This window comes from Homo sapiens, chromosome 5, assembly GCF_000001405.40.
Source record: "Homo sapiens chromosome 5, GRCh38.p14 Primary Assembly".
NCBI lineage: Eukaryota > Metazoa > Chordata > Mammalia > Primates > Hominidae > Homo > Homo sapiens.
This window is the reverse complement of record NC_000005.10, coordinates 27420347-27432858: the sequence shown is the minus strand read 5'-3', so window position 1 is coordinate 27432858 and position 12512 is coordinate 27420347.

The following is a 12512-nucleotide window of genomic DNA, read 5'->3' as shown; positions in this document are numbered from 1 at the left end:
ATAACAGAATCAATCCGAGTGAGTGATTTGCTTTAATAATTTTTTGCCTCTTAGATAAAAAGAGGTAGCTATATAATTGGAATTGCACCAAAAACGTGGAAAAGCAGGTGGGTAAGTTTGTTGCAATAAAGAGACTGGCTGGAATGCCACTGGGAAAAAATTGGATAGAGGGAAACGTAATTATCGTAAGTGAGACTGGCAAACTGGCTGATCATCTCCCAGAAACAGAAATTGGATGAGATAGATGAAATGCGCCAAATGAGAGAAGGCACAAAGGTGTGAGGTTTCTGTGACATAATATTTATATTCATATGTATCCAATTACATCCATAGTTATATCTATTGAATTCAATGGTTATTGGAATAAATGTTTTGAGTCATCATAAAATGGTCAAATGGAAATGCGTGAATTTCAGTAAAACGACATGGAATACTGCATTAGATGGATTGCCCATGTGGTGGCTGAAGTGACCCAGAGTTTGAGAATTGGACCAAGAAAGTGCACTCTGAGCTTTCCCTTACATAACCTTGGGGATGGATATTAACGAAGAGGATGTTGAATACCTTGGCTGCACCAGGCTTTCATATACTATTGTAGTTGACTACACATAACAATATTCTGAGGTTATTATTATTTTCTGCATCTTATAGATAAGGAAACAGATGATTAGTCAAGTTTCCCCCATTAAATGAGGCGTTAGAACTTGAACCATGACGATTTGATTCTTAAATGAATACCCTTTTTTATTGTTCCCATGTCACCTTTCAAAAAAATTAGAGCAGATAAAAGGTAAAATGGACAACATCCTTGCTTTCATGGAGTTCACAATTCAGTTTGGGCAGACAATATATATATATATATATATATATATATATATATATATATATATATAATAGACTATGATTTTTATTCTAATAAATAAATAAATATTGCATAAAGACATAAAATTTCTATTTATGTTTCAAAGTTCAATGGAGAGATGTTAGGGTGTAATAGAAATACCTTAAAATTTAGACTCAGAGTATGGACTAGGCAACCAAGTAGCTCTGTGACCTTCGCCAGGTTAATTGTCTGTTCATGTAAAAAGCAATGATAACTTCCGACTTGAAAAATTATTGTAAAGATTGTAAAATAATGGAAAATTAAGCTTTCATTTTACTGTCTTAGAGAGAATAGGCATCAAGTAAATGATTACATTACTGGCCCCTACCGTGAATTACTTTTTTTTTTTTTTTTTTTTTGAGATGGGGTCTTGCTCTGTCACCCAGGCTGGAGTGCAGTGGCGCAATCTCGGCTCACTGCAAGCTCTGCCTCCCGGGTTCACGCCATTCTCCTGACTCAGCCTCCCGAGTAGCTGGGGCTACAGGCGCCCGCCACCTCGCCTGGCTTTTTTTTTTTTTTTTTTTTTTTTTTTGTATTTTTAGTAGAGACGTGTTTTACCGTGTTAGCCAGGATGGTCTCAATCTCCGGACCTCGTGATCTATCCGCCTCGGCCTCCCAAAGTGCTGGGATTACAGGCATGAGCCACCACGCCCGGCCTGAATTATATTCTTAAAAGAAATAGATTTATTTTTGTATCAGCACATGTACTAATTGACAATAGTGGGAATATAATATAAACAATACAATTTTGAAATGTTTTATTATTTCAGAATGTATTTTTTTAACTTTTAACTTCAGCAGTACATGCGCAGATTTGTTACACAGGTAAACTTGTGTCATGGGCTTTGTTGTACATATTATTTCATCACCCACGTATTAAGCAGAGTACTCATTTGTTATTTTTCCTGATCCTCTCCCTCTTGCCACTCTCTACCCTCCAGTAGGCCCAGTTCCTTCTATGTGTCCATATGTTCTCATTATTTAGCTCTCACTTATAAGTGAGAACATGTGGTATTTGGTTTTCCGTTCTTGCATTAGTTTGGGAAGAATAATGGCCTCCAGCTCCATGCATGTCCATACAAAGGACATGATCTTGTTCTTTTTATGGCTGCATAATATTCCATACACATTTTATTTATCCAGCCTATTATTATTGATATGCATTTAGGTTGACTCCATGTCTTGGCTAGTGTGAATAGTGCTCCAAGAAACATACCCATGCATGTGTCTTTATAGTAGAATGATTTCGTTCCTTTGGGTATATACCTAGTAATGGGACTGCTGGGTAGAATAGTATTTCTGTCTTTGGGTCTTTGAGGAATTGCCATACTTTATTCCACAATGTTTGAACTAATTTACACTCCCACTAACAGTATGTAAGTGTTTCTTTTACTGTGCAACCTCGCCAGCATTTGTTAAAATATTTTTTGACTTTTCAGTAATAGCTATTTGGAATGTATTTAATTGCCACATTCCTCCTTTTACTATACTAATCTTATGTAAAATTATTATTTATTATAATGTCTTTATTATTTGATTATAAGTCTAGTATTATGGCCGGGCGCGGTGGTGCACACCTGTAATCCTAGCACTTTGGGAGGCCGAGGCTGGCAGATTGCCTGAGCTCAGGAGTTTGAGACCACCCTGGGCAACATGGTGAAACTTCGTCTCTACTAAAATAGAAAAAATTGGCCGGGTGTGGTGGCCCATGCCTGTAGTCCCAGCTACTCGGGAGGCTGAGGCAGGGGAATTCCTTGAACCCAGAAGGCGGAGGTTGCAAGGAGCTAAGATCGCGCCATTACACTCCAGCCTGGGCAACAGAGGGAGACCCTGTCTCCAAAAAAACAAAAAAAAGTCTAGTATTATGTAAATATCAACTGAATTAGACTGGTTAACCTAAATAAGACTGCTTAAATATAAAAAATCAAATCAATCTTTGAAAAGTCTAAGATAATATTTATAACTTATAATGCCAGAGGTTAACGCTATAAATTGGTTTAAATGACCATTAATTAATATTTGTGTCAGTTCTGTTAGATCCAACTATCAAGGATGTGAATTAATTTCACCCATGTGGAAACATACCTTTACATACGTATAACATGCATCCATATACATTTGGCAATGTGCATTCAAAACATTTTACATGAATAGGCTGGTGAGGAAAAGAAAGTAAAGTGGAAATGATAATTGCCATACTTAGTTGATAAATTGAGAATAATAACATTAACAGGTTAGTTAAAACTGTTTTATATTAGTTTCAAATACTTTTTCAATATAATTAAAATAAGCTAGACTGTAGTACTAATTATGGCTTGGAGGTTTATTTGGTTTTTGCTTTACATCTTGCATAAATGATTTTAAACAATATGAAATATGCCTGCTAAAAATATTATATTAAAATCCGTATTTAATATGTCATTGCTACAAAAATTAGAAGGGAAAATATGATTTTGTTAACACACCAATACAGCCAAGATGAAGTTCTTGTAAAGTAGAATTAGGCAGCGTATTAGCCTCTATAATTTGATGGATAACTGTCAAAAATAACTGTTTTTGACATTTTTATGCATAAATAATTTTTACTTAGTTAACACAATTGTATCTCACAGGATAGGAAAGAAGCATTTAATATAAAATAATGGTGGTGTTGTCCATGAGGAGTTAACTATCTTATAAACTAAACTACAATAGCAGAATTCGGAGCAAAAGTAACAACAAGAAATGATCGTTTCATGTGCTATTTATCTGTTAGGCATAAATTCAATTTAGAATTGTTTGTCAGTCGTTGATGCCTAAAGTAATATGCCCATTAGGAAGCATGCAATTCAATCAACGTTTCTTCTGACCTTGGAAAGATAATGACCCAAATATGAATATTCAAGAGACACCAGAAGTCATTATAGATGTCCTTAACTTGTTTTTCATTTTTAAATCTGAACAAAATGTTTCTCATGCTTAAGGAAAAAATGGAAAATTTGAATGTAATTAATACATAACAGTCTCGATTTTGGCATATTTTTACTTTATAAACTCTTCATCAAACTAACTGCTAGACAGATGAAAACTATACTTGGCAAGAGAAATCATTTTACACCTAAGAAGATACATGTTGGTATTGCCATTTGATGCAAGATGGGTTTTTATTGTTGGGAGATTCTGAGTCACATTTGTAATGCATCTAGTATATCTTTTATACACTTTTTTCGTATTTAGGGAATGCATTTGGTAGTTTTCTTCAATAACAATATTTTCTTATCTTCAACAACTTAAACTAATGTGAGATACAGTATTTTCTTATTCATTTTGTGAAAACTTCCATATATTCCTAATGGATTACTTTGCTCAACAGAACACAATGAAAAATTAATATTGAAGTAAAACTTGTCTTATCATTTTTTGAATCATAAAATGCTATAAAATTATAATTAAAAACACTGTGAAGTCAAATGTTGTATTGATTTAGATTAAAGAACATATTTGAAAATATCATCTACAAATATTTTAGTAATGTGATATTCTCTCCTGTGTAGTGTTTGAGTCTTTCACAAATCACAGTATATTTTGATTAAATAGAAAGAATATCACTTTTTTTTAACATTTTTAAATGTAGGGAATCATCTGCAGAAACTTAATTTTCTCTTATAATAGGAATAAGTCATGATATCTAGGTCTAAAATGAAAGGCAAAATTCAGTTTTTTTCAATAAATAAAAATCTAGTAATGTCTAGATTAAATATTCTTTTTCTTGATTTTCTACAGCTGTGTTTCCCCTGAAGTTATGTGAAAAGCATTTGTGGATTTAACAGAGTTAAGGTGAGAGGGTAGGGAAATAACAGCTAAGAAAAAGAACACGTATCTCGTTTTCATGAAGTTTAAATATCAAACTGACTTTTTCACTTTATTTTATTTCAAATAATATTCTAAATTGTGGAACTCTTGTCAAGGACTTTGAAACACATGCATTGCATGCTACAGACACAGTATGTGAAGTCTCCTCGTATCAGACAAGACGAAAAGCTTATGGTTTCTTGATTCTCCATTATTCCATTACGTGTAAATGGTAACATGGGATTTAAATATGCAGCTTATTTTAAGGATCTTGGATTTGTAAATGATAGTGGCAACTGTAGAAGTTAGTAAAGCGTGGTGCTCAATGGGTAGGCTCTGAATATTGATGGCCAGGCCGCAAGCAATTTTGAGCTGAGTATTTTGGCAGGTTATTTAACCATCTCATACTGTACTTCATCTGTAAAATGGGTGTCATCTTACTTGAACATTCTCAGAAGCGTGATAGGGTGGCAAAATTCTGTACTATATATTATTTAGAGCATTCCCTGACAGATAATGAGCAATCACTGGCAGAGAGTCATTATTTTCTTAATTCACTACCTTGATGTGGAAAGGTAAGTCTCACATCGAATCAGAATTGCATGTGGTTTCAGAACTATCATTTTTTTTTTACATGTAAATATTTGCTTGCCAATGCTTGGGGGAATTATTTTTTTAATTTTTAATTTTGTATTTATTTCAATAGGTTTTTGGTGTGCAGGTGGTGTTTGGTTACAAAGTCCCCGAAGTCCATTGTATCATTCTTATTCATTTGCCTCCTCATAGCTCAGCTCCAACTTATGAGTGAGAACATACAATGTTTGGTTTTCCATTCCTGAGTTACTTCACTTAGAATAATGGTCTCCAATTCCATCCAGGTTGCTGCAAATGTCATTATTTTGTTCCTTTTTATGTCTGAGTACAATTCCATGGTGTATATACATATATAGATAGATACATTATATATATAGATACATTATATATAGATAGATACATTATATCGATATAATGTATCTACATTATATCGATATAATGTATCTACATTATATCGATATAATGTATCTACATTATATCGATATAATGTATCTACATTATATCGATATAATGTATCTACATTATATCGATATAATGTATCTACATTATATAGATAGATACATTATATAGATATAATGTATCTACATTACATAGATAGACATAATGTATCTACATTACATAGACAGACATAATGTATCTACATTACATAGACAGACATAATGTAGATACATTACATAGACAGACATAATGTAGATACATTATATAGACGGATATAATGTAGATACATTATATAGACGGATATAATGTAGGTACATTATGTCGACGGATATAATGTAGGTACATTATGTCGACGGATATAATGTAGGTACATTATGTCGACGGATATAATGTAGGTACATTATGTCGACGGATATAATGTAGGTACATTATGTCGACGGATATAATGTAGGTACATTATGTCGACGGATATAATGTAGGTACATTATGTCGACGGATATAATGTAGGTACATTATGTCGACGGATATAATGTAGGTACATTATGTCGACGGATATAATGTAGGTACATTATGTCGACGGATATAATGTAGGTACATTATGTCGACGGATATAATGTAGGTACATTATGTCGACGGATATAATGTAGGTACATTATATAGATAAAATATATAGAGATACATTATATTTAATGTGTATATATATAATGTATCTATGTGTGTGTGTGTGTGTGTGTGTGTATGTGTGTGTGTATAGTATTTTCTTTATCCACTCATTGATTGATGGGCATTTGGGCTGGTTCCATATTTTTGCAATTGCAAATTGTGCTGCTATAAACATGCGTGTGCAAGTGTTTTTTCATATAATAGTGTGTTTTCCTCTGGGTATCCAGGTAGATACCCAGTAGTGGGATTGCTGGGTAGATCTACTTTTAGTTCTTTAAGGAATTTCTACATGGTTTTCCATAGGGGTATACTAGTTTACATTCCCACTCACAGTGTAAAAGTGTTCCCTTCTCACCATACCAATGCCAACATCTACCAACATCTATTATTATTTATTTATTTATTTATTTATTTTGAGACAGAGTCTTGCTCTGTTGCCCAGGCTGGAGTAGAGTGGCACGATCTTGGCTTACTGCAACCTCTGTCTCCTGGGTTCAAGTGATTCTCGTGCCTCAGCCTCCCAAGTAGCTGGGACTACAGGCATATGCCATCACGCCTGGCTAATTTTTTGTGTTTTTAGTAGAGACGGGGTTTCACCATGTTAACCAGGATGGTCTCAATCTCCTGACCTCATGATCTGCCCACCTCGGCCTCCCAAAGTGTTGGGATTACAGGCGTGAGCCACCGCGCCCTGCCTATTTTTGATTTTTTGATGATGGTCATTCTTGCAGGAATAAGGTGTTATCACATTGTGGTTTTGATTTGCATTTCCCTGATAGTTAGTGATATTGAGCATTTTTTCACATGTTTATTGGCCAACCTTTGGGATGGCCAGCCTCCAGGCTATAACCCTTTATACAAAATAAAGCTCTCTTCTGTAAATGTATGAACCTCGGGATTCTTGGTCTAAAGAAAGATAGCATAGGCCACTGATTTAATTTTTTTTATTTCAAACAGAAAAAATGCAAATAATTTAGAAGTTAATAGTAAAGATAGAAAAAAGCTGATTGCAAATATAGCATTATCAATCGTAATACAGAATGATTTTCTAAAAGTTCTAAGATATAAAGATAAAACAGGAAAAAGATAAAAGTGTAACTTTTTTAATATTCTTGTCTAAAATGTGTGTGTGTCTGTGTGTATAAATTTAACACGTTTTACTAACATTTTATATTAAAAACTAGATGTTCAATGGAGTCGAAATCATTTCATTATAATACTAATTCTCTTTTAACAAGAAAATTACAGGAAGCAACTGAAACCAATCTTTTCCTACATGATTTGAAATTTTGTTGCCTATAAATCGCCTCACTCAATTACATTTTTAACTTTTTTTGTAAAATGTTGTATTCCGCTTATTTTTGAATATGTATAAGTATGCTGTTTAAAAGATGTGTATGCGTGTTTGTATGCTTAAATATATAAGCATACAACCACTGACACTGACTCAACAATGTCAGCCCTTATTTACAATTCTACCTATTTAAATGAAATCAAGTCAAAATCAAATTCCTGGGAAAGTATGATATAGAACTGCTATTTCGTCTCTTAGAGAACCCATCGTTTTAATACCAGAAATCTCTAATAACCAATCAGCAACTTTGGCAAATCCAACAATATTTTCTATCTTTCCCTTCTCAACTACTCCACTGCATTTGAATTAGTTATTTAGAGTCAAGTATTTGAGGGGTGACTTTGACACAAAATAGCCTTTAACCTACTTTCTGTGTAACTTTAGAGATATCACACATATTCCCCATGTTAAGAAAAATGATCAATGCTACATACAGATGTTCTAAAAAATACTGAAATGTTTCCAGTTTCTGGGTAACATTAAATTTGTAATATTTAATTAAAGTTGTTATACTTACTGTAGTTAGTGTTAATGATATTATTGACCAAATCATTCACCTTTGAAATTTTTCCTTTGGCTTTTTTGATGCTATTTTTATCCTGCCTCATCTTTGAATTGATAGTTTTCTTAGAACAACTCTTATGCTTTCACACTATATATATGCTATATGTTTTCTTATAACCTTTTTAGATTCACTCTTGACTATTCTCAAGTCAGTTCTGTGGCCGAGAGCACTGACTTTAATGGGCAGCCTCAACAGTCTCCCTGACACTGTGTCTATTAATTGGCTTTAACTAGGCTGGGAAGCTGATTCCTCTGACACACTCCCTGTCAGATCACTCCACGTTTGCTGTGTCTCTTTACCAAAGATGACAACTTCATGGGCAAGCCCTATCCTAAAAAATGTTCTTTCCTACTCTCTGAGGTGTAGGGTAGAGAAGCTCTTACTATTGTTGTCCCTGAGATCCCCTATTACTTGCAGTTTTCATGCTACCTACTCATTTTAAAATGGCTTCTTTCTTAAACAATTCTCAATTACTTTTTATATGTGCTATCTCTTTTTCACCAGAACTCTAACTCATAGGATAACTGGTACCAGAGTGGTACAGAAAGGGAAACCTCTAAAAGTTATATTAGAACAATTAACTAAGAGTGCCATTTATGATCTGCTAGTTCCCTAATTCCATGCCTAGATTCACTGTTGCCTGGAGTAAAGGAGGTTGGATGCTTGAATTACTGTTTTTTAATACAGAAATAAACTAAAAGGCTTACAGTGAGGAAATTTTTGAAACTGATCTATTGTGTTTCTTGCTGCCTCCTAACATGGCCCCTGAAGGACCCGGTGGTTACATTCCTTACCCTTTGTCAGGTAACTCATTGGAGAGGTAGTCACCAACTTTGCTGGAATAGCAAAGTTGTGGTGGAGGCAGATGAAGGTAAATGAAGGCAATATAATGTTGAGTTTTTTTGTTTTTTTTTGTTTTTTTTTGACAGGGTCTCACTTCATCACCTAGACTGGAGTACAGTAGCACAGTTGCAGCTTCCTACATCTTGACTTCCTGGGTTCCAGTGATCCTCCCCCTTCAGCCTCTCAGGTAGCTAGGAAAGTGGAGTTCTTAATCTCAATAGAAATATCGAGATTAGAATTGAAGACAGGTTTCTATGCTTAAACAGCAAAGACAGAGAAACTTAATTATTATAGCAAGTAACAGAACCAAACCAAAGTTATTCTCATAGCTTTTTGATCAGCAGGGATCTGACTGATAGCTGCTTGATGTTGTGGTCTCTATGAACCAAACGGATGAGCAGCCTAGTAAGATTCTGCTTTATATATGTAATCAGAAAACTTCTAAGCCTGGAGAGGCAAAAATCAAACAAGACATTATAAATTGCATGTAACCTCACTTATTCAATCAACTGGACACATAGAGAAGCCTTACATTGTAAAATAGAGTTGGCAAAAATTTAATCTAGGCTTGAAGACTATTAAACTGCATGAGCAAAGTCTCAGACCAGTGGCATTCTGGCAGTGTTCCACAAACTACAGGGAGTAAGTAGCCCTGATTAGGAGCATTTGTGGATTTCCATAATATAATACTCCTAACTTGGTCAATACTTGGAGATAGGAAGAGATATACATAATTGGATGGTGGAAGCCAGTGCAAGCTAGATCCAGCACACAACTGGATCAGACTCATGTGCTACACACTGACACTGGCTTTATTGCCAATTAACAGAAGCCTAGCTTACAGATTAATTAAGAAATGACTGATAATCAAGTAGTCAGGGGATGGCAAACTATGCCTATAAATTAAATCTGCTACCTTGTTTGCATAAATTAAGTTTTATTGAAATGCAGCCACATTTATTCATTTGTGTATTCTCTGTGGCTGCTTTTGTACTTGGAACCACAGAGATGAGTAGTTGTAATAGAAATCACATAGACAGCAAAGCCTTAAATATTTATTTTCTGGCTCTTCACAGGAAAAGATTTGCTAATTCCAAAAATAGGTTAAAAACAAAACTCAATAGCTGGGTGATGAAATAATTGGTACAACAAAACCCCATCATGGGGTCTACCTACATAACAAATCTGCACATGGATCCCTGAACTTAAAATAAAAGTTAAAACAAAAACAAAACTATTTCAAAGACATATAGATGCAACCCAAACTCTTTACCTTGCCACAATAGTCTTGATCAAAGAGTCTACAGGAAAATTTGTCATAGTGACAGAAATGGACGTTATGCATGGATTGGCCAAGATCCTGCTATTCCCAAATGTCCAACTGTCTGAAAATACTGGCCAACACCTAGCCTCTCATAGGACAGTTTTTGTAGAAGGTTCAGATTGCAAATGAGCTATGTAGGATCCTTTCCATGATGGACAGAGTAGCAATTTGCCAGCAAAATAAATAAATAAATAAATAAACACAGAGGGAGCTGGAGGAAAATGGCTGAATAGAAGCAAATGTTATTGGAGGTAAAGAGAGAGATAGACTCCAATAAAATAATAGCTGGAGACTTCAAAACCATACTTTCAACATTGGTTAGATCATCCAGACTGAAAATCAACAAAGAAACATCAAATTTAGTCTGTACTGTAGACCAAATGGAACTAACAGGTATTTATAGAACATTTAATACATGTTATTTTCCTCAGCACATGGACCATTCTCAAAAATAGACCATACATTAGGCCACAAAAAGTCTTAAAAATTCAAAAAATTGAAATTATATCAAGTATCCTTCTGGATCATAATAAAAAAACTAGAAACTAATAATAAGAGAAATTTTGAAACTATACAAACATATGGAAATTAAACAATATGCTCCTGAATGACCCAGGGGTCAGTGAAAAAACTAACAGGAAAATTTTAAAAAATTATTGAAACAAAGGAAAATGGAAACACAACATACTAAAACCTGCAAGACACGGCAAAGCAATACTAAGGAAAGTTTATAAGGATAAGCACCTCTATCAAAAAAGGCAGAAAAACTTCCAATAAATAACCTAATGATGCATTTTAAAGAACTAGAAAAGCAAGAGCAAACAAATCTCAAATTTAGCAGAAGAAAAAAATAATAATAAAGATGAGAGCAGAAATAAATGTAATTGAAATGAAAAAATACTGAAGATAAAGAAAAGGTTTGTTTCTTTTTTTTTTTTTGGCAAGATAAATATAATTGTTAAACCTCTAGTTAGACTAGGAAAAAAGAGAGAAGACACAAATAAAACCAGAGATGAAAAATAGGACATTAGAACCAATCCTGCAGAAATTCAAAGGATCATTAGAGGCTACTATGAGCAAGTATATTACAGTACACTGAAAAACCTTGAAGAAATGGATATGTTTCTAGACACATAAAACCTACCAACATATAACCAAGAAGAAATCCAAAACCTGAACAGACCAATAACAAGTAATGAGATTGAAGCTTTAAGAAAAGTCCCAATGGCAAAGAAAAGCCTAATGCTCAATGGCTTCACTGTTAAATTTTACAAAACATTTCAAGAAGAATGAATACCATCTTACTCAAACTATTCTGAAAAATAGAAGATGGGGGAATACTTCCAAGCTCATGTTATGAGGCCAGTGGCAAGCTGAAATCAAAACCAGACAAGGCTACATAAAAAAAAAAATAACCTACAAGCCAATGTCCCTGATGAACATTTATGCATAAGTCTTCAACAAAATGCTAGCAAATCGAATTCAACAACATATTGGAGAAATCATTCATCATGACCAAATGGAATTTATTCCAGGGATGCAAGGATGGTTCAATATATGCAAATCAACCAATGAGATACATCATATCAACAGAATGAAGGACAAAAACCATATGATCTTTTCAATTGACCCTTAAAAGGCATTTGATAAAATTCAACATCCCTTCATAATAAGAACCCTCAAAAAAGTGGATAATAGAAGGAACATACCTCAACACAATAAAAGGCATATATAACACACCCACAGCTAGTGGAGTATCCATACTGAATGGAGAAAAACTGAAAGCCTTTTCTCTATGACCCGGAACCTGATGACAATGCTGACTTTCACCACTGTTACTCAAAATAGTACTGGACAAGTATTCAACGAGTCCTTGCTAGAGCAATCAGACAAGAGAAGTAAACGGCATCCAAATTGGAAAGGAAAAGGTCAAATCATCCATGTTTGCTGATAATATAGTCCTATATTTGGAAAAAACTAAAGATTTCATGAAAAAACTACTAGAACTGATTTTAAA